The 26269-nt window shown below is 41.5% G+C and overlaps 1 pseudogene across 8 annotated transcripts in view; it reads left to right on the top strand.

Moving 5' to 3' along the window:
- RABGEF1P1 (RABGEF1 pseudogene 1) overlaps positions 1-26269 on the top strand; it is a 62103-nt pseudogene that overhangs the window by 6124 nt on the left and 29710 nt on the right. For 2 of the 8 annotated variants that reach the window (NR_111972.1, NR_111977.1), the window contains 3 exons: positions 9352-9529; positions 12734-12899; positions 25609-25705. The product of NR_111972.1 is annotated as an RABGEF1 pseudogene 1, transcript variant 3 (transcript). Of the gene's footprint in view, positions 1-1817; positions 1940-9351; positions 9530-12733; positions 12900-25608; positions 25706-26269 lie in introns of all 8 variants that reach the window. The other 6 variants (NR_111973.1, NR_111978.1, NR_111975.1 and 3 more) reach the window with 6 other exon arrangements.

The raw sequence follows: 26269 nt of genomic DNA, 5'->3' as shown, positions 1-26269 counted from the left end.
TCTAGTGCAATAGAAGATTGTTGTCTAGAACTCATTCCTTGAGAATGCTCCCCTGCTTGCTCTGCTCATTCCAGCAGCAATCAACTCTACATTGTATTCTAGGGAGTTGATTATCATTTGGAATTATTTTCCAAGGCTAATGTTTGGACAAATAATGTTTTGTTATATTTAACATTAAAACTCTGACATTGACATTCACATTGATTTTGGAAGCATTATACTTAATCATATGAAAGTTGGTGAAACTTGGATTACAGATTGCAGATGCTAATAAGTCTTTTATTAGAATGATGGCGTCTTCATACCATGAAGTTGAGGACTGAAAGATATATGAGAAGAGTACCTATAAATCGAAAGAAAATAGTAATGACATAGAAAAATGAGCAAAATCAGTTAATTTCTTCAAAGAAAATATATTAATGACAATAAATATCTGCAAAGATGGCTAACCTTAGGGAAATGCACGTTAAATGGTTTTTTTTGTTTGCCTGTCAGATTGACAAATTAAAGTTCAATAATGTTATGCTTATGAGGTTATGGGAAACCAGATTCTCATACACTGTAGGTGGGAATGTAAATAGTATATTTTGTCAGACCAGTTTGGTATATGTCAAAATTTTAAATGCACATACCCTTTGGCATTCCGTTTCTGTTTCTAGCAAACTGTTCGATTTATTTTTAATTACATTTGTATCCCAAGTGCCTGTCCCAAGTGCCTGTGTCCCAAGTGGCTGTCGTACAGTAATCAATCAGTGTATAAATATTTGGTGAATGAGTGCAGAGGGAACACTATAGGAATATGTACTACATATAGTAACTGTCTCTGGATGATGATTAACACATTTTTTTTCTACTTGTCTATATATTATCAGGTTTTGTAAATAATGAGTATTCTTTACTTTTCTAACTGGAAAAAAAAATTTAAGGGAAAAAAATCACCCATAAGTTTTATTCCTTAACTGAGGTCAATGGATAGCTTATCGTTTTACTAGAATTGATTGGGTGTTTCCTGTAAGTCCCAGATGAGTTGCCTGGAGATAGGAGTGACCTGTGAGGGCATGACATTGAACCCAGGAATAGGAAGCAGGGCCCGCTCAAGGATAGAGGGAAAATACTCACATCTGCAAAGTGTTTTCGTTTTGCTTTTCTGAGATGAAACTGGTTTGCATCCAGAGCCTTAAGAAAGAACACTAATAGTTCTGTGAGCTTTGTAAGTATGCTTTGTACCTGTCTGTCCTTTTTAGAGTACATGGACCCAGAATAAATCCCAGCCCTGGGGCATAATTTGTAGAATCCTAACTGTCCCAGCAGCAGAGATCATTTTTACTCTGTCTTCCCTGACATAGGTGGGACCAATTGAATTGTGCATTCTTTATGTCCAGGTTGTTCAATCAAGCTCCTATTTATTGGAGTGCAGTGCTCCAACAGGAGCAATGTGCGGCCCCTCGGAGCTCCCTCCTGGAAGCAGTGCTGGTGGTGGTTACCTGTCTAGGGACAGGTCTGTCTGCCCAGGAAAGAGTTGAGTCTCATGCAGTCGATCCCCCTGTTTCTTCCTGTGTTTACAGGATATGCTGTCTGTAGCTGTGATGTCCGATCTGGGTGTGCCGACTGTCCTACCTTCTCTACCATTACAGCTGTCACCACCACCACATAGCCTTTCAAATGATGGCACTCTCTTTTGGTGGTACCCTTGCTCTCTTTTTATACTTAGAAGCAGCAGAATGATCTGAGTCGTGTGTTTAACTGATACACATTAGTCCCATGATAGGTGTTTATTTTTATTAAAAAGTTCGTGTGAATTTTTTTTTTTTTTTTAGATGGAGCCTCGCTCTGTCGCCAAGACTGGAGTTCAGCGGCACGATCTCGGCTCACTGCAAGCTCCACCTCCGAGGTTCACGCCATTCTCCTGCCTCAGCCTCCCAAGTAGCTGGGACTACAGGCGCCTGCCACCATGCCCGGCTAATTTTTTTTTGTATTTTTAGTAGAGGCGGGTTTCACCGTGTTAGCCAGGATGTTCTCTATCTCCTGACCTCGTGATCTGCCCGCCTTGACCTCCCAAAGTGCTGGGACTACAGGCGTGAGCCACCGCGCCCGGCCTCGTGTGATTTTTAACAAAACTTTAAAATTTGGAATAATCAATAACTTCAAATCCATAGGAAGCTATAAATATAGTACAGAGAAGTCCTGTGTATTCTTCTAGTTTGCTTAATGGTTACATCTTACATAACTATAATATAATGTGAAACCAGGAAATTGATATTTGTGCAATGTGTGTGTATAGTGTCATGCACATTTTATCTCATATGTAGATTCCTGTAGCCACCGCCATAGTCAAAATACAGAACTATTCCATTACCCTAAAGACTTCCCTCATGCCCTTTTAGTCACATCCTGTGTCAGCAGTCCCCAGGGCTGCCCCCAGTTTTTGTAATTCACTTGAGGCTCTCACAGGACATATTTATTCCTTGCTGTGGTTTGTTACAGTGAGGGGGGATGCAAAGCAGGATTAATAAAAGGTAGTTGTGCATTCAGCAGATTCTACAGGACACCAGCATTGTTAAGATTTGAAGAGTCTTCTCCCAGCAGAGTTACCCAGGATGTGCTTACTTCCCCAGCCTTAAACTCTACAACATGTGTGAAGTGTTTTTTATTGTGAAAGCTCATGTATGCCTCAGAATCCAGGGTTTTTATTGGAGACTGGTCACATAGTATATTAGTTCATTCTCACATAGCTATAAAGAAATACCCGAGACTGAGTAATTTATAAAGAAAGGAGATTTAATTAGCTCACAGTTCTACAGGCTGTACAGGAAGCATTGCAGCTTCTGCTTCTAGGGAGGCCTCAGGAAGCTTCCAATCATAGTGGAAAGCAAAGGGGGAGCAAAGTGTCTCCCCTGGTGGGAGCAGGTGCAAGAGAGAAGGTGCTACACATGTTTAAACAACCGGATCTCACAAGCACAGAACCACAGGGGATGGTGCGAAACCATTCATGAGTAACTGCCCCATGATCAGATCACCTTTCACAGGCCCCACTTCCAACATTGGGGATTACAATTCAGCATGACATTTGGGTGGGGACACAGTTCCAAACCATATCACATAGGCATATAGTCCCTTTGTGGTTATCACTTTTAGAGCAACTCCAGAAGGAAATCAGGTGTTTACCATAAATCATACAGTTTGCACAAAATATCTAGACAAGCTGGACAGTGTGGTTCAGTACCGTAACCATACAAAAACACCCTTATCATTTAGGGCATAGGGCTAGTACAAGACCTTAGTTTCTAGGAGCTGACCAAGGGCCAGTCTAACCCAGCTGACCAAGCAGGCCTGTCTGAGAATGTGCATCATTTGAGCAACTCAGGCCTGCTGGGTTAACTGCTTACACCATTTTCCTTCCCCTCCTCTCCCTTGCCTTCGCCACTCTTAACCTGGAAAAAGCACTAATTTGTCCTCCATATCTGTAGTTTTGTCATTTGGAAAGGTTGTAGAAATCCTAGAGTATGTGACCTTTTAAGATGCACTTTTTAAAAAACTCAACATTTTGCTCTTGAGCATCCAGGTCTTTACATGTGTTAATAGTTTGTTCTTTTTGGTGTTAGGTATTCTCTCGTGTGATCATGCCCCAGTTTATTTAACCATCCCATAGATGATGTTTATTTTCCCTTGTAAAGTTGGATAGCGTGTATAATTTTTTTTTTTTTTTTTTGAGATAGTGTCTTGCTCTGTTGCCCAGGCTGGAGTGCAGTGGCACCACCTAAGCTCACCACAACCTCTGCCTTCTGGTTTCAAGTGATTCTCCTGCCTCAGCCTCCTGAGTAATTGGGACTACAGGCGCATACCACCATGCCCGGCTAATTTTTGTATTTTTAATAGAGACGGAGTTTCACTGTGTTGGCCAGGCTGGTCTCAAACTCCTGACCTTGTGATCTGCCCACCTTGGCCTCCCAAAGTTCTGGGATTAGAGGCGTGAGTCACCGTGCCCATCCAGCATGTATAATTTTAACGTAATGGCTAATCACTCATGAGGGGAAGAAATGGCTAATCACTCATGAGGGGAAGAGATTTTTGAACATTTTTAAATAATAGAGACAGGGTCTTGCTATGTTGCCCAGGCTGGTCTTGAACGCTTGGTTTCAAGCCATCCTCCCACCTTCGCCTCCCAAAGTGCTGGGATTATAGGCGTGAACCATTGCACCTGGCCCCGGGGAAGGGATTTTTGTATTTATTAAGCAGTTAAGTATCATTGCTTTTTAGCCATGTTATTCTATAGTCTTTACAATAACCTTATTCATTCAGTTATTGTTCTTGCAACAAAGATTTGAGAACCTATGATATGCCCATTTGTGCAGGGAAAAAACTCCTCAAACTGTATTTTTCCTCTGCTCATGCCACAGCAGTCATCAACACAGAAGACTTCCATGACCATATGTGTGGGGATTCTTCCCCTACACAACACACCAGCTGGGTGTCTTCTAGTTCACTTTCTGCACTGGGTGTCTTTTAGTTCAGTTCCTGCACTATTTACCAGGAGATAGGGTCAGATCGCACAGGGTGAGGACTCAGTCACCATGACTGCCCCTCCTAACCCCCATCAGTTGCAACTCCGGGCCTTTAGGACTTCTAACTGACCAGCTTCAAGTTGGGGTTCCCATGGCTGCCTTTTTAGGTTCAATAATTTGCTGAGGTGGTTTACAGAACTGAGGGAGATGCTTATGTTTACCGGTTTATTACAACAGATATTGCAAAGGATCCAGGTGAAGGAGATGCTGGGGGCGAGGAATGGGGGAAGGTGCAGAACTTCCATGCCCTCCCTGGGCGTACACCCTCCAGGAACCTCCACTGTGCAGCTATCTGAAAGCTTCCCGGGCCCAGTTCTCTTGGGTTTTTATGGAGGCTTCCTGACATCAGCATTCGTCCCTCAGAGTATAGAGCTGGACCCTCGCTGGGGAGGGTTTAAGACCAATCCAGAGTAGAGTCCTGCCTTGGGGCAGGTAAAAGGAGGGCAGGAGAAAGTCAGAGAGGCTGCCCATGAGGCCTAACACACTCAGCCTTAAAACAAAAGCCTGGGGGTGGGCGTGGTGTCTCATGCCTGTAATCCCAGCACTTTGGGAGTCTGAGGTGGTCGCCTCCCGAGTAGCTGGGACTACAGGCGCCCACCACCACGCCCGGCTAATTTTTTTGTATTTTTAGTAGAGATGGGGTTTCACCATGTTTGCCAGGATGGTGTTGATCTCCTGACCTCATGATCTGCCCGCCTCGGTCTCCCAAAGTGCTGAGATTACAGGCGCGAGCCACTGCGCCCGGCTGAAAAGACTCTTTTTTCGCCATTGAATGGTCTTGGTACTTTTGTGGAAAATCAGTTGACAGAAGAATTGTGGGTTTATTTCTAGAATCTCAATTTATTCCGTTGATTTCTATGACTGTCCTTGTGCCAGTACCACACTGTAGTAATTACCATGGCTTTGTAGTAAGTTTTGAAATCAGGAAATGTCAATTTTCTTACATTCTTTTTCAAGATTGTTTTGGCCATTCTGGGTCCTTGTTCTCTTCTGCATTTTAGAGTTCATGTGCTTTCATTGGGCCCATCTAGATATCTAGCATAGTCTCCTTATTTTAATGATTAGTCAACTTAATTATATCTGCAAAGTCCTTTTTGCAGTGTAAGGTGACATAATCACAGGTGTAGCACCAGAGAGTGAAGGTCATGGGTGCACAGGTCCTATGAGGCTTAGTTGGGTGAAAAGGTGGAGAATGATAGGAGCAGAGAGGTTGGAGAGGGAGATAGGAAAGGGAGTTTCAGAAATATTACATAGTTTGCCTAAAGTTACATTTCCAGTACGTGGCAGAGCTGGGGTTGGAGTGCAGATAGGACTGATCTCTGTGATTTCATGGTCCACACCAAATCAGTCTTCTTAGACTCAGAGCTATTGTTTCTGTCTAATACATAGTGAGCTTTTATTGTATGCCAAGTAATCCACAGAGCACTCCTTTATGTTTTTCTAGCTCTTAAAGAGCATCTGTACAAGTCTTTTGGCATAGATAATAGGCTCTACTGGAACCAGCTTAAGAAAAAACGACAAAAGTAGTTAGGGGACCAGGGTGTATGACTCAGAATCTGAGGATGGGCGTGCATGTAAACCTTAGCCAGGGATTGGAACTGGGAGATTGAAATCACTCAGGACGTATAGGACCTTCTACTTTTCTCTGCTTCTTGGGATATGTCTATTTTACTCTGTAGACTGTCCTGATTCTCAGACCACTGGATGGAAGATGATCATGTCACACAGCTCCATCATTCAAGAGAACAGCCGTGACTTAGTCCCATTTCCAAAACTCCAAGCAAAAGACTCTAACACATTTGGAGGCAATCAGCTGTGACCCTGAATTGGGGGACTGTTCACCTCATACAAATATAGCTGCTGCCAGCTTATATTTGTGGATTGAGAGGACAGTTTCCTGATACACAGGAGGTATTTGCACGTGCTAGGCAGACTCCCCAAACTTATGTTCATTTTAGTAACATTGAGTAGTACTATCATACTTAACAGTACAAAATTTAAAAAACATAATTGATCTATGCGAAAAAATAAGTATTTCCTTTTGCCCATTTCTCTTGAAAGGGAAGAAAAGGGACACGGGATGATAATGGCAAGATTATTTATTTATTTATTTATTTATTTTTGAGACGGAGTTTCACTCTGTTGCCCAGGCTGGAGTGCCCTGGTGTGGGATCTTGGCTTACTGCAGTCTCTGCCTTGCGGGTCCAAGTGATTCTCATGCCTGAGCCTCCCGAGTAGCTGGGATTACAGGCAAGCGCCACCACACCTAGCTACCCACTGTGTTACCTCTAGTCCTTGACTGTAGTTGTGTCTTGGTCAGTATCCGTGTCTCCTGTTCTGTACTTCTCTCTAATCCAACCTAGAAATTGCCTCTCAAGTGTTTTGTTTTGTTTTGTTTTTTGTTTTTTTGAGATGGTGTCTCGCTCTGTTGCCCAGGCTGGAATGCAGTGGCGTGATCTTGGCTCATTGCAACCTTTATCTCCCTGGTTCAAGTGATTCTCGTGTCTCAGCCTCCTGAGTAGCTGGGATTACAGGCATCTGCCACCACGCCTGGCTAATTTTTGTATGTTTAATAGAAACGGGGTTTGCCATGTTGGCCAGGCTGGTCTCGAACTCCTAACCTCAGGTGATCCATCTGCCTCGGCCTCCCAAAGTGTTGTGACTATAGGTGTGAGCCACCGTTCCCGGCTGAGGTTGGTTTTTTTTTGTTTTGTTTTGTTTTTTTTATCATAGAGTAAAATTGATTTGGGAGGAATATAATGTTCTGCAAATTTCTAAATTTTAATAGATTTATGTAAACACCTCCACAATCAGAATACAGAACAGTTTCATCACCCCTAAAAACTTTCTCGTGCTAATCCTTTATAAGTCACATTCTTTCCTATCCCTAGTTCTTAAATGGAATCTTACAGTATGTAAACTTTTAAGATGGCTGCTATGGTCTGAATCTTTGTGTGTCCTCCAAATTCATATGTTGAAATTCTAATCCACAAGGTGATGCTACTAGGAGGTGGAGCCTTTGGGAGGTGATTAGTTCATGAAAGTGGAGCCCTCATGATTGGGATTAGTGCACCTATAAGAGACCGCAGAGAGCCTAGCCATGTGAGGACACAGGGAGAAGGTACCTTCAGTGAACCACCAGACACCAACATCTGTTGACTTCCTGATCTTGAACTTGCCAGCTTCCTGAACTGTGAGAAATAAATTTCTGTTTTTTATAACCTACCCAGTTTATGGTATTTTGTTACTGCAGCCAGAAGGAACTAAGATGCTGGTTTCTATCAGCATAAAGCCTCTGAGATTCATCGAAGTTGTTGGGTGTTCTGATACCTGTTGTTGTTGTTTTCCTGAGTAGCATTCTGTTGTATGGATGTACCATAATTTGTTTATTCATTCACCCATTGAAGGATATTTTAGTTGTCATTTTTTGTCATCACAAATAATGCTACTATAACTGTGTATAGAATTTTGTAAATAGCAGTTTTTATTTCTCTAGAGGAAATACCCAGGAGAGGGATTGCATGGTTGGATGGTCATTGTATGTTACACATTTTTAAGAAACTATGGAAGTGTTTTCTCTAGTAGTGTCTGTACTATTTTGCATTCCACTAGGAAGGTATGAGGGTTTTAGTTGCTCTGCATCCCTGCCACCCCTTGGTATTGTCAGTATTTATTTTTTTTCTGAGGTGGGGTCTCACTCTGTCACCCAGGCTGGAGTGCAGTGGTGTAATATTGGCTTGCTTCAACTTCCACCTCCCAGGCTCAAGTGATCCTCCCACCTCAGCCTACTGTGTAGGTGGGACCACAGCCATGCACCACCATCGCTGCCTAATTTTTTTTTTTGTATTTTTTTGGTAGAGACTGGGTTTTGCCATGTTGCCCAGGCTGTGTCAGTATGTTTTATTTTGGCCATTCTAATAGGTTTGAGTGATATCTCATGGTGGTTTTAATTTGCATTTCTCTAATGATTGAACAATGTTGATCAACTATTCATGTGCTTATTTGCCACCACGTCAAAAACTGCAAATGTTTTTTTTGTAGTAGCCATCCTAATGGGTACAAAGAGATATCTCATTGTGGTTTTGATTTGCATTTCCCTGATTTAATGATCTTGAACACTTTTTCACGTGATTATTGGCTGTTGGTATGTCTTTGGAGAATTGTCTATTGCAGTCCTTTTCCCATTTGTAAACCGGATTATCTTGTTTTTTTTGTTACTGAGTGGTAAGAGTTCCTTTATGTTCTGGATATTAACTCCTTATTAGATATGTGGTTTGCAGATATGTTCTACAATTCTGTATATTGTTCCTTCTTACTCTGTCATTTGCTTCCTATGTTGTGCAGAGATATTAAAATTTGATGTAATGTATTTGTCTGATTTTGCCTTTGTTGCCTGTGCTTTTGGTGTCATATCCTAGAAGTCATTGCAAAATCCAGTGTTGGGAAGCTTTTCCCCTAAGTTTTCCTCTAGGAGTTTTCTAGTTTCAAGCCTATACATTTAGGTCTTTAATCCAATGTTAGCCCTTTCTTAATGAGTTCTTTGTATTTTGGGCAGGGAATAAGTCTTTCTTTAATGTAACTGTCAGGAATTTACTATATTTAACTTTTTCCTTCTTCCTTCCTCCCCTCTTTCCCTCCCTCCTTCCCTTCCTCATTCATTCCCTCCTTCCCTCTCTTACGGCTTGAAGATAATGGAATCACTCAGGTTTTGTTCGTAACTGGTAAGGTTTTAGTTTAGTAGGATGATAATTCATTTTCAACAGCACTTTCTTGTTTGTTCATTGGTTAGCAGGAAGAAGATGAGCCTTAGGTCTGAACGCCGAGGAATTCATGTGGATCCTGTGCAAGAAAGGATGTGGTTACTGTGGCAACCCTACCTGGCAGGGTTTCTGCTCCAAGTGCTGGAGGGAAGAGTAGCACAAAGCCAGGCAGAAGCAGATTCAGGAGTACTGGGAGCTGGTGGAACGGTAAAAGGACTTAACTAGGGGCGGTTGATCAGTGATGTGACTGGATACATAGCTCTGTCACCGTGCAAATACATTTTTTCTCTTCTGCATTCAGCTATCAGCAAGTCAGTTTAATATTAAGGAAAAGGATGTTTTCCCCTCTTCTTCTCAGTCAACCTTTAATGAACAGCTTTCAGTAGTTTCTTCATTTTGTGTTTGTCTTAACTTCTGGTTATTTTCTTTGGATTGTGTTAGTCTTAGTTCTCAAATTTAGACAAATTCCTTGGAGTGGAAGAATGGAGACAGGCATATTTCCTGGTGAAGATTAAATGAGCTAATAAATATGATGTACCCAGCGCAGGGCTTGCAAATGGCAGTCATCAAGCATTATTTCTCTCGTTCTTTTACTATATTCAGCATGGCATGTAGCTCAGTGATAAAACAGTAGTAGAACTCTGGTGACTCGTATACATAGTCCTTGCATTATAGAAATTTATTCCTTAAAAATTAGGTTACTCAAAGGCAGTTTGTATTATCTGGATATACAGTGATGTTAAAAATTAAATGATGGGTCGGGCGCAGTGGCTCACGCCTGTAATCCTAGCACTTTGAGAGGCTGAGGCAGCTGGATTACCTGAGGTTAGGAGTTCGAGACCAGCCTGACCAACATGGTGAAACCCAATCTCTACTAAAAATATTTAAAAAGTTAGCCGGATGTGGTGGTACGTGCTTGTAATCCCAGTTACTTGGGCGGCTGAGGTAGGAGAATTCCTTGAATGCAGGTATCGGAGATTGCAGTGAGCTGAGATCGTGCCACTGCGGTCCAGCCTGGGCAACAAGGTGAGACTCTGGTCTCAAAAAAAAAAACAAAAAACAAAACAAAATTAAATGATGGGATGGCTAGTGAGCATAGGAACTAGTAAAATGCCATAAATAATGTTAATTCTTTGCCAGAGCATTCTAGAAATTCTAAAACTGCTTCAACAGAAGAAAGTCAAATGGAATTCTGCTAACTCTTGCTAGTTTTTTTTTTTTTTCATCCAGTCAGCCAATATTTGTTGAGTTGACTTCTTTGCTGGTATCTGTGGTAAACCCAGAGAATTAGAAATTACACATTGCTTTCAGTGACTGTGGTCAATCAAAGAGAGAAAATTTTAACCCAGAACGTGAATGATCTCCTCAGGCTTCCGACTGCATGCCTCATGCTGTCAGTAGCAGACCCTGTTTCGAAAACAGAGTAGAGGCCACTAGGCACAAACTCTCTCAGCTTCCTCCCCTGGCTACATAAAATGTACTAATACCTTTATATTAACTTCTTGTCTGTCCCAGAGAAAGAGGTGTCCCGATTCCATCCTCAGACTTAGCACCTCCACCTGTGATTTTTGTTTCTATTTCTTACTGCTTTTAATTGTGACCCTGCTAAATCTCTCGGAAAGCTTGTAAAAGCAGTGATTGTTGGACTTTACCCTCAGAATCTCTGATTTTAGTAGTTTGGGAGTAAGACTAGAGAATTTGCATTTCTAACAAGTTGCCTGGTGTTGCTGCTATTGCTGTCTGGGGAATCACACTTGGAGAACCACTGTCTTATAGATAGTGCTTGAGTTTTTTGTTTGTTTTTTGTTTTTTTGAGACAGGGTCTTGTTCTGTCATCCCTGCTGGAGTGCAGTGGTACATGGTACAGTCTGGACTCACTGCAACCTCTGCTTCCTGGGCTCAAGTGATCCCTCTGCTTCAGCCTCCCAAGTAGCTAGGACTACATGAGCATGCTACCACGCCCAGCTAATTTTTGTATTTTATGTAGAGACAGGGTTTCACCATGTTTCCCAGGCTGGTCTCAAATTCCTGAGCTCAAGTGATCCGGCTGCCTTGGCCTCCCAGTGTGCTGGGATTACAGGCGTGAGCTACTGTACCCCGCCTGTGTTTGGGAATTATTACAGATGGTTCACATGCAGCTAATCCAAACCCAAATTTATTGCTTTTATTTATTATTCTCCGCATTCTGAACATTTTCCTCCTAACCCTTCTCCTGAGTCAATTAATGGCATCACTATTTACCAAGTTAGCTAAAAAACCTTGGTTTCATTCTTGATTTCTCTTTCATCTCCTATGCTGCCTACAACTTGACCAAGTTCTGTTTCTTCCAACTCAGAAAAGTCTTGAATTTTACCTTTTGTACTCCTATTTTCCAGGTGCTTATTTTCTTTTACTTAAACCTTTATAATATACTCTTACTTCTTGTTCCTGTCTCTAGTTTCTCTACCCTTCAAGTTGTTCACACAGCTACCTGCATGATCTTTCTAAAGTACATACAACGATCTGACAACGATAACTTCTTGGATTTACAGTCTTTCTTGCTTCCCCACCACATGATGAAATCCAGAATAGTGGGCTCAGCAATCAAGATTCCCTACCCTCTGGAGCCTTCCTGTGTATCCAGCATCACAGTTCATCACACGCCCAGTGCTCTGGCTACATTCAGCTTGTTGTGAAGCAAACCACAGGCTTGCACATTTGTAGTTCCTTCTTCCTGGAATGTCCTTTCACTTAGAATCCTAGTCAGCCTTATTACTCAGACGTGGTGGTGTGCACCTATAGTCTCAATAACTTGGAAGGCTGAGGGATGAAAATTGCTTGAACTCGGGAGGCAGAGGTTGTAGTGAGCTGAAATCGTACTATTGCACCCCAGCCTGGGTGATGGAGTGACACTCTGTCTCAATAAAAAACAACAAAAAAAAGGATCCTATTTATCCTTTAAGACCCCACCCAAACATCACCGTTGTAAAGCCTTATCAGCTCCCCCCAGCAGATTGCGTTGTTCTTTCCTGTGTTCTCACAGCACTCAACTTTTACTCTCTGATGTAGCAGCTGTCCCATTCTGTAGCAGTTGTTTACTTACCTTTTCGTCTGTTCCAGCCTTGAGCTTGTTAGGGAAAAGGACTAGACTTTATTTATTTCACTGAGCTTGTTGGGGAAAAGGACTAGACTTGATTTCTTTCATGTAACCTAGAGCAGTTGCTGAATGAGCATGAGAGGATCCCATTTGAAATCTGTAGTGCATGAAGAGCCGTCCATCCTGTAGCTATGTGAGACCTCAGACTGATTTGGCATATTTAGTCTCTAGGTCTAAAATCTTTAGATCCTCCTGAATTAATGGAGTAATAACCTTCAGGTATAGAGAAATCTTGGAGAATATCTAGATCATTCTAATCCTCTCTTGAATTGCAGACTCCAGCGGGAGGAAGAAGAGGCCTTTGCCAGCAGTCAGAGCAGCCAAGGGGCCCAATCCCTCACATTCTCCAAGTTTGAAGGAAAGAAAACCAACAAGAAGACCCGCAAGGTTACCACAGTGAAGAAATCTTCAGTACGTCTTCCAGGGTCGGATCAAAGAAGGGTAATGTTGTGATACTCTTTTTTTTCTTCTCTGCCTGAGTGAGACACAGAGGAGATCCCCAATGCTCATAGGCTCAGCTTTGTAATTTCTGTCAACTTTTTGAGAACATCAGCTCAGATTTGACACTGAAATTGGGTTTGAGGGTCAGACAGTATATGAAACCAATACTCTCTTTGGTTGAAAGATATTGTGTTTTAGAGAAATTTGTTTACTTTATAGGAGGAATAAAGAGAATTGAAATAGGTAGTTTTGTTTATGAAATTCATCCCCATCCAAATGACTATCTCTTTGGATGATTTGGTTTTTGCGCCTTTTATTTGTGGATCCTGGTTTGTTCTGTAGTATCATACCCTCATTGTTCATAGCTTGTCAGAAATGGCAATTTCTAGCCTTGAAGGTCATCTGAGAGATTTTCTGCCTGAGAGCTTATTTGAGAGACAGCTTGTGTCATGAGGAATTGTATTGAGAACATATAGGAAAAGGCCCACATTGGGCTCCTGGAGGGATGAAAGTGAGCCATAGTAGCTATTTTCCAGTGCATGGATTTGTATGTAGGTGATCATATTCACTCGGCTTCTTAAAATGCCATATAACCATCAAGAGGATTGTCACTTAAGTCACAGTTGTTCTACCATTGAGCAGACAACCCAGTTGAAGTGGCCCAATATGAAGCAAGAAAGAATCTCTGTTGTTAGGCCTTGGTCTCTGAAAATTTATGTTGGTACTCGGTCTTTGAAAATTTATGTTGAGTTATGCAGTGAATGTGAAATAATGAGGGAGACTGGGAACCAACACTGATGCTGTCAGAAAACCTGTTCTCTGGGAGCCCCCTCACTTGCTCCCCAGTTCTTACCCTGGGGTAATTGTAATGAGATCTTCTCCCCTGGAGGCAGGGGAATGAATAATAAGACAGTTTTTATCCCTTAAGATCCTTGCCAGTCCTCTAGGTTTTGTGACTTTTGCTGTTTTCTTTTGGTTTATTGTAAGGAAATAAAAGGAAATATTGCATATAACCAAAAACATACTTCTCTTTAAGACATGGATACCAGGTGTGGTGGCTTACACCTATAATCTCAGCACTTTGGGAGGCCACGACGGGTGGATCACCTGAGCTCCGGAGTTTGAGACCAGCCAGGGCAACATGGTGAAACCCCGTTTCTACAAAAAATAAAAAAATTATCCAGGCACAGTGGCATGTGCCTGTAGTCTCAGCCTGGGTGACAGAGCAAGACCCTGTCTCAAAATTAAAAAAAACAAAAAAAATAATAAAATAAAAAGAAAAGAAAAAAGAAAGATTGATTAGCTTTAAGTAATAAATCTTTGTTCACATGATTAATTTGAAGTTGTTTCTTGGTTGGCTGCCAGTTGTAGCTATTTTGTCTCTACTAAAAAGGGGGAAAAATTAGTACCTGCCAGAGATTAAATAAGAATGTATTCAGCTCATGATTTATCTATTAGGAGGTGAAATTTCCAGGTGGTTAGTCAGGTGACTTTGCAGTCATTCCTGGTTTGAGTCCTAGTTTTGTCATTTACCAGCTTTGTGACCCTGGGTGGACTAACCACTCCAAGTCTTGTCCACACTGAGGGACAGTAATACCTATCAGAGACATGTGATGAGGATTTCATGAGTTGACACATGTACAGAGCTTAGCACAGTGCCTGACTCACACAGTAGATCTCCAGTAAGTGTTAGCTTTTTTAAAATGCAAGTTATTCTTCTGATAGAATAATCTTGCAGGGAGCTCAAGGCCATTTATTATTAAGATCCTTCATTCCTATTTAGCTTAAAGTCTGTTTCTTCCTGATATGTAGTGAAGTGGTAAGTATTTATGATAACAGATGAAATATTAAAAAAATTATCAAATTATCAGCTCTAATAGCCTCATTTTGCAGATGACAATATGAAAGTCCATAAAGGTTAACTAATTTACCCAAGGTTGCACGATGAGTTTGCACATGAGAACTCAGGTCTCCTAACTCCTGGGTCAATATTTTTCCATTGTATTCCTTTATTCAATGTGTATACTTCAGAAACCTAGGTTATTTAATGTATATAATAAATAGTAAATATATATATATATATATAAATACGTTTCTGTTACTTAAGTACATAATTGTCATTTATATTCACTGACTCTCCTTGGTGGTTTTAAAAACCTGTGTCTCAAAAGCCTCTGTACGGTGTGCATGATACTATGGAAAGAAGATTTACAAGTTAGTGCAGTCTGTACTTTGAAAAGAAACAATTCTGGGGCCGGGTGCAGTGGTTTCTACCTACCTATAATCTGAGCTATTTGGAAGACTAAGGTAGGAGGATTACATGAGCCCAGGAGTTAGTGGCTGCAGTGAGCTGTGATTGTGCCACTGTATTCCAGCCTGGGCAGCAGAGTGAGACACCAACATTAAAAAAATTAATTTAAAAAAGAAACAGCCGAGTGACTTTTATTTTAAAAATGTGTATGCAGAATGGTTTTTACCTTTGTTCTTGTTTCTCCCCACCCCCCGTCTTTTTGAATGGTAGATTTGTACTTTTGATTTTTTGTTCTTTAGTTGCTTTTTGTCAGTAGAAAGCTTTTGGGGATAAAGACCTTAAAGTATTTAAAAATTTATGTTAGAAAAGAAGATTCCATTATGTCTTTGTTTCACAGATCACTTAATATAACTTAGCCAGGTAAATTTTGCATTTCACACTGATTACTTGTTTGGCCATTGTGTTTGGATAAGGTTAGCCTCTGCAGTTTTAATGTATTGGGTCTAGATTAGAAACAGACTTTTTGGATTCTGTATTCTTTGCCTTCTTTAGTCCGTGATCCCCTTGCTCTTGGTATTTTACTTGTTTCTGTTAGTAGTAAAAAGGAAAGCTTTTATGCCATACATAGCAGCTTGGTAGCAGACAAAATACAAATAACCTTCTAAGGAATTTGAAGAATATTTTTACATTCTTTTAGAGTGGGATATGCCGTCAGAGAAAGTAAATGGAATATCTTGACTGTAAAGACTTAGTTAAAGTGTTTTAGTCTCCACAGTCAGGGTGAGTGAGCTGTATAGAGGAAGTCATAGTGGTTGGCCAAGCTGAGATACTTGCTTATACATTCCAAAGTGCCCTTTTCTTTCAGAACTCCTATAATCTTGTCATCCCAAGTAGAATCTTGTGTACCTCTTTCACAAATGGATCTGAAAACAGTGATCCTCCAAAGCATATCTTTCCTTTTTTAGAGTTAAAATACCAATACCACCCAGACCTTAGATTCTAAATACTATTATTCACTAAAGTGAACCGGGGCTTCTTGGAGAAATGACTGATTCTGGGGCTGGGCCAGGGAAAAAAGGGCCCCTTCAATATTTTGGGGACATTTCAGAAGATCCAGAAGCCAGCTTGGAGGGGTTTCCACTGGCCAAGTCTGGGATAAATTTGAGTGTCAAAATAAATAAGAACAATAAGGCCGGGCACGGTGGCTCAGGCCTATAATCCCAGCACTTTGGGAGGCCGAGGCGGGCAGATCACCTAAGGTCGGGAGTTTGAGACCAGCCTGGCCAAAATGGCACAATCGCGTCTCTACCAAAAATACCAAATTAGTCAGGTGTGGAGGTGCGTGCCCGTAATCCCAGCTACTTGGGAGGCGGAGTCAGGAGAATGGCTTGAACCCAGGAGGCGGAGATTGCGGCGATCTGAGATCATCCCATTGCACTCCACCTTGGGCAACAAGAGCGAGACTCCATGTCAAAAAAAAAAAAAAGTTGTCATGTTAGTAGTAAAAATTGATTCAAGTAAACTTTATCTGGGTGCTAAATCTGGGATGAGGGGAGGGAGTTTCCCAGGGAACAAGTTATGAACGTGATCTCAAATTAACTGCCTATGAATCATTTATTTATTTTTCTTTTTTTCGTTTTTTTGTGGAGACTGGAGGTGGGTCTCACTATGTTGCCCAGGCTGGTCTTGAATTGCTGGCCTCAAGTGATCCCACCACTGCAGCCTCAAAGTTCTGGGATTACAGGTGTGAGCCACCATGCCCAGCCAGATTATTAATTATAAATAGAGAAATGGTAACTATAAAATGGGGATGTGTGAGGCAAGGATAGATGTCATGTGCCTCCAGACATGACACTTTGAGAACACAACATCATTTATGAAATATCTAAGCCGAAAAGTTTTAACAACCTGAATCCAGTCATGAGGAAACAACTGGCTAACCCAATCTAAATGGCATTCAACAAGATACCTGGCCTGTGTTCTTCAGAAATGTCATGCGAGAGAAACAAAGGCTGGGAGCATTGTGAACAATTGAGAAAATTGGAATATGGATTTTCAATTTAGTAAAAGTATCGTATCAATGTAAATTTTCCTGAATTTGGTAACTATCCTGTAAGGTACATAAAACAATGGCTTAATCCCTTTGCATTGCTACAAAAGAATACCTGAGGCTGGGTCACTTGTAAAGGAAACAGGTTCATTTGGCTCACCGTTCTGCAGGCTGTGGAAGAAGCATGGAGACAGGCCAGGTGCAGTGGCTCACGCCTGTAATCCCAACACTTTCAGAGGCCGAGACGGGCAGATCACTTGAGGCCAGGAGTTCAAGACCAGCTTGGCCAACATAGCAAAACCTGTCTCTACTGAAAATACAAAAATTGGCCAGGCATGGTGGCCTGTTCCTGTAATCCCAGCTACTCGGGAGGCTGAGGCAGGAGTATTGCTTGAACCTGGAAGGCAGTGTTGAAGCGAGCCGAGATTGTACCAGTGTACTCCCACCTGGCCAGAGGAGTGTGAGACTCCTTCTCAAAAAAAAAAAAAAAAAAAAAAAAAAAAAAGAGAGAGAGAGATACTGGGCAATGGAAGGCTTGACAATCATGGTCTACTTGCTGTACCTGAAACACAAGCTTTGTTTCTGTATTAAAAACATAAGGTGTAGCTGAGTCCACTGGCTCATGCTTGTAATCCCAGCATTTTGGAGACTGAAATGAGGCAGGAGGATTGCTTGATCCCAAGAGTTGAAGACCAGCCCAGGCAACATAGTGAGACCCCATCTCTTTTTTTTTTTTTTTTTTTTTGAAACCCCATCTCTTAAAAAAAAAAAAAAAAATTAACTAGGCTAGTGCCTGTAGCCCCATCTACTCTGGAGGCTGAGGTTGGAGGATCATTTCAGCCTGAGCAGTTGAGGCAGAAGTGAGCTGTGATCTGGCCACCGTACTCCAGCCTGGGTGACAGAGTGAGACCTTGATTAAGACAAAACAAAACAAAAACAAAACAAAAAAAACAAACACAAGGTGACTTTAAGTTGAAGAGCAAGCACTTGCCATTTGAGCCTTAGCCAGAACTATAAACTGTAATGTGGGTGAGGTTGTCCTTTTCCATATTTCCTTCTTCTTCACAGAGGTTGATTTTTAGAAAACTTAGAGAAAAACAACCAAGTGTTGACTTCAGTAACTTCTATGATCGTAACTAGCTAGTAGAATTAATTGTCATTTATATTTTTAAAGGGTTTTTTTTTTTTAAAGCAAATTGTCTCTTTGTGAAGAACATGTGCGTTCCTTAGACACTGTCTAGCTGCTGAAAATGACGGATTTCTGGTTTTTGGTTGGTTTGTTTTCGGAGATGCAAAATGAGCATATGTACCTTAACGGTTCCCACCACCTTTATTTTGCCAGTAATTTAATTTGAGAAAATTAGTTAGTTTTGCCCTGTTTTCTTCATCTAAATATGGAAATGTTTAAATCTGTGTTCTGCTAGGTACTGATGACCTCAAGATATATTCCCTGGTGAGATGGACTTTCTCAGAATATGAGGACTGCATGCCTGGCACACTTGAAATGTTAGCGTTTCATTTTTCAAGAGGATTAAAGCCCTCATATGTTTATTTTCCTTTAAAAAACTACTTAAGGCAGCACAAATTGGTAAAAAAAAAAAAAAAAAAAAAGGACATCAAAACTAAAACCTAAATAGATGAAGCAGTTAACATCAGTACAGACAAAACTTAATGAACCCAGAAAATCGATTGTGGTGATTCACATTGAAATGACAGGAGTTCCAGATGAAATACACAGAAAACATAGTTAAGGAAAATAGTCAAAGGTTTTCAAAACTGGAGGTGAAAACAAAGATCTCAGCCAGACCGTTAAGAAAGTGTACGGAGTGCCTCTCAGCATAATAGTCAAAGAAAGACACCCAACTTTCAATGTTGTAATCACAAAGTAAAAAATTTATTTTAGAAAAATAAAATGACAGATTTACCTCAGATGTTATAGAAAAGATGATCCCATACAATGATTAGAGAGTACTTGAGGAAAAGGGTTTACTTTCACTGCTCTACTATCCTTTTTTCTTGGAAAACTATGACAAACCTTTTGGAGTTTTGTAGAGCCTAAAAGAACTTACCAACACAAACCTGCTCTCACTTTGCTCCTTTGGCAAACACTGAGGGGGGGCCTGAGAGTTACCTTATTTGCAGGCTAACAAATTAACCCTAACCTCCCACGGTTTCACAGATACTGGTCAAAGACACGAGTCTCCTGGGTCAGACACAAAGGCCAGTTTCTTACAGCAGTAGCAGTAGCCAGTGCATTTGCATTTGTGCTTATCCCCTGAGTATCTGTTCCTATGGGATAATGCAGAGAAGACCAGGGAAAGCCTGTGCATGCAGTGAGTTGTATTAGAGGAGAAGAACCTTGGACTTAGGGATCCTTATTGGACAGTAAGCAGTCTACCATTTTCTCTTGAAGGAGGCACTCTGTCTCCCAAAGCTGTTTGTTATACAGATATCCTTGAAAAGATGTTGCAAAACAAAGGCAGTCATTGCCTCTGCTCACAGATAGGTAGAAAGAAATCTATGGAGAATTGTCTTCAGCATCTTATAAAGGGAGGAATGGTAATAAATGTCCACATTCATTCAGTCAACCCATACTGAGCACTAACCATGTCCCTGGCCCTGTTCTAGGCATGAGGATATGGTGGTGAACAGTGCCCTCGTGGAGCTAACATTTTAGTTGGGGAAATGGACAATAAAGAGATCTGTTACATAGTGGTAAGTCCTATAAGAATGGAAAGCAGGATGAGAGAGTGGCAGGGGAGTTCTTTTACATTATGAGAGCAATACTGTACTGGAGCATAAACTGCAGTAGGAATAGAAAAGGAGTTTTCGGCATTGTATTGTAAAATTACAGGGGTTGTGCGGGGCTCGGGGAGGAGAACATGATCCCTTGACACCAGTAAGACAGGCCTCTCGGGTCTCTAAAAGGAGCTCAGAGGGTTTCTAGTTGGAAGCGAGCACTACAGGTTGAGTATCCCTTATCCGAGAGCCTTGGGACCAGAAGTGTTTCAGATTTTGGGGTTTTCCCAGATTTTGGAATATTTACACATATATAAGATAACTTGGGACTGGGACCCAAGTCCAAACACAGAATTCATTTGTTGTATATATACCTTACATACATAGCCTGAAGGTAATTTTATACCACATTTTAAGCAGTTTTGTGCATGAAACAGTTTTGGCTGCTTTTTGACTACAGCGCATCACATGAGGCCAGGTGTGGAATTTCCTACTTGTGGTGTCATATCGACACTGACAAATTTGGGATTTTTGAGCATTTCAGATTTTTTATTTTTGAGTTAGGAATGCTCAAACCTGTAATAATAATCACAATAATGAATATAGTTTCTTCTAAGTTAAGTGCTAAAATTCGGTGCAAAAGAAAGGTGTAAAACCATCTGTAAACTACCTAAGAATACTGAATGAATGCATAAGTTTTGCAGAAAATACATGAACTAAAAGGACAGATTTGGGCACTGCAGTGTATACTTGTAGTCCCCACTACCCAGGAGGCGGCTGAGGCAGGAGGATTGCTTGAGCCTAGGAATGTGAGGCTGCAGTGAGCTACAGTTACGTCTGTGAACAGCTACTACATTCCCTCCTAGGCAATGTAGTGAAATGCCACTTCTAAAGAAAAATAAATAAATTAAACAATAACAAGTTAAATTATAGCACCATAAAAGAAAATTCAAATATCAGTTAAAATGCTGTCACCCATGTTAAAGTTAGACTTGAGGTCTTAATAGTAAAAAAAAAAAAAAGCTCATCTTGGCCGGGCGTGATGGCTCACACCTGTCATCCCAGCACTTTGGGAGGCCGAGGCAGGCAGATCACCTGAGGTCAGGAGTTGAAGACCAGCCTGGCCAACATGGTAAAACCCCATCTCTACTAAAAATACAGAAATTAGCCAGGCGTGGCGGCAGGCACCTGTAATCCCAGCTACTCAGGAGGCCGAGGCAGGGGAATTGCTTGAACCCAGGAGGTGGCGATTGCAGTAGCCAAGATCGCACCATTGCACTCTAGTAGCCTGGGCAAGAAGAGCGAAACTCTGTCTCAAAAAAAAAAAAAGAGAGAGAGAAAAAATGTCACACTCCATAATGGTAGTCCTTTTGTTATACAGACCCATTCTACTTATTGAAAGGATTTGAGGTTTACAGAATGAATTTAAAATAAGAGTGAGAGAACAGGGTCATAATTTGATGGTACTTGGAGTTGATAAACATGTTCTTATGGACATGTTCTTCATGTAGCTACTACTGTGATTACCTACATAGAAGTCCAGGCATAGGCTGGGCGTGGTGGCTCATGCCTATAATCCCAGCACTTTGGGAGGCCAAGGCAGGAGGATCACTTGAGGCCAGGAGTTTGAGACCAGCCTGTTCAACATGGCAAAACCCCGTGTCTACTAAGAATACAAAAATTAGCTGGTGCAATGGTACTCACTTATAATCCCAGCTACAAGGGAGGCTGAGGCACATGAACCTGGGAAGCGAAGTTGCAGTGAGCCGAGATGGCACCACTGCACTCCAGCCTAGTCAACATAGCAAGACTCTTGTCTAAAAATACAAAAAAATCCCAGGCATAAAACTAAAACTAGTTCTCTGAAAAAATATCTCCAGCAGATCTAAAGTGTAGTCCATGGATGTATTTGTCAGAAATGAAACTTAGAGAATTTATAAGGTAAATGTATTTCATCAATTCATAGATGAGGGGTAGATGGAAGTCTCTTTGGAGAACTGGAAATAGAGATGTGGGGTGGTGGTAATGAAAACCTGTGCATTTGACGTACAGAGCATGCTCAGATCGAGGCTCATCCTGCTTTCACAGTCAACTGTAGTGGTAGGGTGGGTAACATCAGGACTTTTCTCATAGAGTAGTTCTGGATCTACTTGGGTTCACACCGCAGAGCAGGAAGGTAACAATCTTTCTCGCGAGCATCGCTAGAAAGATCTGGTCACCACCATCTCACAACAGGCGTTAGTATAAAATAAGCACACTTAACTGCTGCTGCCACAGTACCTATCTAGAGAAGGAGACAGCTCCAGTAAGAAAAAGTGAGACTGACGGTATGCCCCACAGTACTTTGTCCTTCTTGTTTGTAATTATAGAATATTATAATGATTGTATTCAGTCTTCTCACTTAAATTGAAAGCCATCTGAGCATTTTCTTGACCTTTTTATAGAATTGGTACAGTGGCTTGAGTTCTACTAATCATGTAATGAGTAATGAGTGCTTTTAGAAGGAATGCAAATGTAATTTTTAGGAAATCCAGGAAAGAAAGAATCTTAGGAAAATCCAAGGGAAAACAGAACAGTAATAAAAGTACAAATATAGCAACATGGCAAGATAAGTCTAAAAAATTTACTTACAGTGTACATACTAGTGATAAGAAAATTAAACAGCCTAGCATGTTTTTTAAAAATAGTAATTTTTAAAGACAACAGCAATAAAGAATGTTAAATATTGAGAATTTAATGTAGCAAATTAGAAGTTCATCTAAAGAATTAAAAGACAGTTTGATGGTGGTGGGGCGTGGTGCCTCACACCTGTGATCCTGGCTCTTTGGGAGGCTGAAGCGGGTGGATCATTTGGGGTCAGGAGTTCAAGACCAACCTGGCCAACATGATGAAACCCTGTGTCTACTAAAAATACAAAAATTAGCCAGGCATGGTGGAGGACACCTGTAGTCCCAGCTACTCAGGAGGCTGAGGCAGGAGAATCGCTTGAACCTGGGAGGCAGAGGTTTCAGTGAGCTGAGATCATGCCACTGCACTCCAGCCGGGGTGACAGAGCGAGACTGTGTCTCAAAAAAAAGAAAAGAAAAATATGAAAAATACTTTGCAGGTCAGTATAAACACTTAAAATATCATTTAAGTTATAATGTTACGTTATTCTATGAAAACAAGGAAACAAACATACCATATGATTCTTTTTGTGAGGGGTAAAAAGCAAGAATTTGTGAAGCAGGGAGGCTTCTAAATTCAGCAGACTTTTAAATATATTCTAAAATGAAAGTCATCACACCTAGATGAGATTTGGGTAAAAAATGAAAATATAGAACAGTGAAATAAACCAGAGATTTCAGAAATAGATTTAATTTCTGAGGAGCAATTTATATGACAACTGGGAGGATGAGGGGGAACAAGATCGCACTTTACTAACTACTGCTGATGATGACAGATACCTGTATAGAGTTTATTTTAGTTCTGTGTTTCGTACCATGCACCTTACATTCCAGCCAAATCAAAGAGCTAAACATGAAAAAATTGAGAAGAAAGTAGTTAGGATATAGGCTGGGTATATAGTTAGGATATATGCCTTTACTCCCAGAGCTTTGGGAGGCCAAGACAGCCGGATTACTTGAGGCCAGGAGTTCAAGACCAGCCTGGCCAGCATGGTGAAACCCCGTCTCTACTAAAAATACAAAAATTAGCCGGGCGTGGTGGCAGGTGCCTGTAATCCTAGCTACTCAGGAGACTGAGGCAGGAGAATCACTTGAACCGGGAGGCGGAGATTGCAGTTAGCCGAGATCCCACCATTGCACTCCAGCCTTGGCGACAGAACGAGACTGTCTCAAAAAAACAAACAAACAAACAAAATAAACCAAAAATTAGCTGGGTGTAGTGGTTCATGCCTGTAATCCCAGCTACTTGGGAGGCTGAGGCAGGATAATCGCTTGAACCTGGGAGGCAGAGGTTGCAGTGAGATCACTCACTGCGCTCCAGCCTGTGTGAGAGAGCAAGACTGTGTGTGGGGGTTGGGGAGTAGATTAGAACATGTATTTCAGCAGTGGAGAGGAGCTAAAATTGAACTATCGAAAAATTGTTTTGCTCTGGTACAGTGGCTGACACCTGTAATTCCAGCACTTTGGGAAGTCAGGGCAGAAGGATCACTTGAGCCCAGGAGTTTGACACCAGCCTGGGCAACACAGTGAGACCTTGTCTTATTATTTTTTTTTTTTAAAGAAAATTGAAAAGTTGGTTTTTGTTTCTGTTTTGTTTTGTTTGAGATGAAGTCTCACTCTGTTGTCCAGGCTGGAGTGCAGTGGCACCATCTCGGCTCACTGTAACCTCTGCCTCCCGGATTCAAGCAATTCTCCTGCCTCAGCCTCCCAAGTAGCCAGGACTACAGGTGCACACCACCACGCCCAGCTAATTTTTGTACTTTTATTAGAGATGGGGTTTCACCCTATTGGCCAGGCTGGTCTGAAACTCCTGACCTCAGGTGATCCATCTGCCTCAGCCTCCCAAAGTGCTGGGGTTACAGGCGTGAGCCACTGCACCCGGCCAAAAGAATTGTTTTTAATGACCGGGTAAAAGGCTTAATTGTATTAACTTTTTAAAAGTCTGTGCGATAAAAAATAAAACTCAGATAAAGTAGAAGGCAACAGTGGGAAGTCATGAATATAAATAAGGGCTTAATATAGTGAAATATCTAAACTTTATTAAAGGTAGTACCTAGGCTTTTTTTTTTTTTTTTTTTTGAGATAGAGTCTCACTCTGTTGCCCAGGCTGGTGCAATCTCGGCTCACTGCAACCTCTGCCTCCCGGGTTCAAGTGATTCTCCTGCCTCACCCTCCCAAGTAGCTTGGACTACAGGTGGTGCCACCACGCCCGGCTAATTTTTTGTATTTTGTTGTAGAGACGGGGTTTCACTGTATTAGCCCAGATGGTCTCAGTCTCCTGACCTTGTGATCCACCTGCCTTGGCCTCCCAAAGTGCTGGGATTATAGGCATGAGCCACCCCACCCAGCATACCTAGGCCTTTATAGATGAGGGATCAATTTTAGTTCAAATAAATGGCACGTATATGGGTAACTAGTTGATAGTAACAAGGGCTGCAGTCAAGGTAATCAAAAAGTGCCATGAGTGCTTAGCCATTTTCACTGAGGGAATGAGGTGACTGCCCCTGACCCCGAGTGTCCTGCCATCCTTTTAGAGTTAAGCCAGACAGTTAGGCTGCTGCAGGCTTCCACAGGATGTATTGGCCCTTGGCGTGTGATGTCATTGGCCTGTGGTAGATGGGGTCTGTGACAACCAGTCCTGGGGGTTTGTTCTCAGCCTTATTCATGCTCTTCTATCGTGACATCCTTATGAGAACCCTTGGGAGAAATTTTTGATTTTGGTGTCAGAATTTCACCTGAAGGATTGGTTTGCTTTCATCTTTTGAACCCTGAGTTATGTAACTGTTTTCATCTTAGTGATGATTGCTAAAAAGTTTAGTTAGAGACAGATAGATGTATGGGCTGACTCTTGACTAATTTAGACATCTTCCAGGAAAACATTTCTGTCTTGTCATCTGTGGCTCTGCCTGTGGGGTTTCTCCATGTTTCTTTTGTTTGTTTGTTTTTGTTTACTTATTAAATTATTATTATTTTTTGAGACAAAGTCTCTCTCTTGTCCCCCAGGCTGGAGTGCAATGGCGCGATCTCGGCTCACTGCAACCTCCACCTATTGGGTTCAAGTGATTCTCCTGCCTCAGCCTCCCAATAGCTGGGATTACAGGTACGTGCCACCATGCCTGGCTAATTTTTGTATTTTTAGTAGAGACAGAGTTTCACCATGTTGGCCAGGCTGGTCTACGAACTCCTGACCTCAGGTGATCTGCCTGCCTCAGCCTCCCAAAGTGCTGGGATTACAGGGTGAGCCACCGTGCCTGGCCTATTGTTTATAATTTTTAAAAAATTGTTTAATGCCTATCTATCTATATTTACTAGAGATGGGGTCTCACTATGTTGCCCAGGCTGGTCTCGAGTTCCTAGGCTCAATCGATATTCTCCCTCATCCTCCCAGAGCATTGGTATTACAGTTGTTATTCTTTTTATTTTCTAGTCTGTTATGCTGAATTGCATTTATCTTTTAAATAGACTTTAAATATTCTTTGGCAGAAAGTGAGGAATAAATACATATATTACACCTATAAAATCAGTAAAACGAAATGAAAATTATCAAGCCCAATGTTGTAAGGGCCATAGGGAAATAAGCGCGTACACGTGGTTAATGACAGTGTGCACCGAGTTTCTGAGGAGTGTGGCTAGCAATAGACACTTAGTGCTATAACATTGATTC

The sequence above is a fragment of the Homo sapiens genome, chromosome 7 (genome assembly GCF_000001405.40).
Source record: "Homo sapiens chromosome 7, GRCh38.p14 Primary Assembly".
NCBI classification, from domain to species: domain Eukaryota; kingdom Metazoa; phylum Chordata; class Mammalia; order Primates; family Hominidae; genus Homo; species Homo sapiens.
This window is presented reverse-complemented; position numbering and strand designations above follow the sequence as displayed.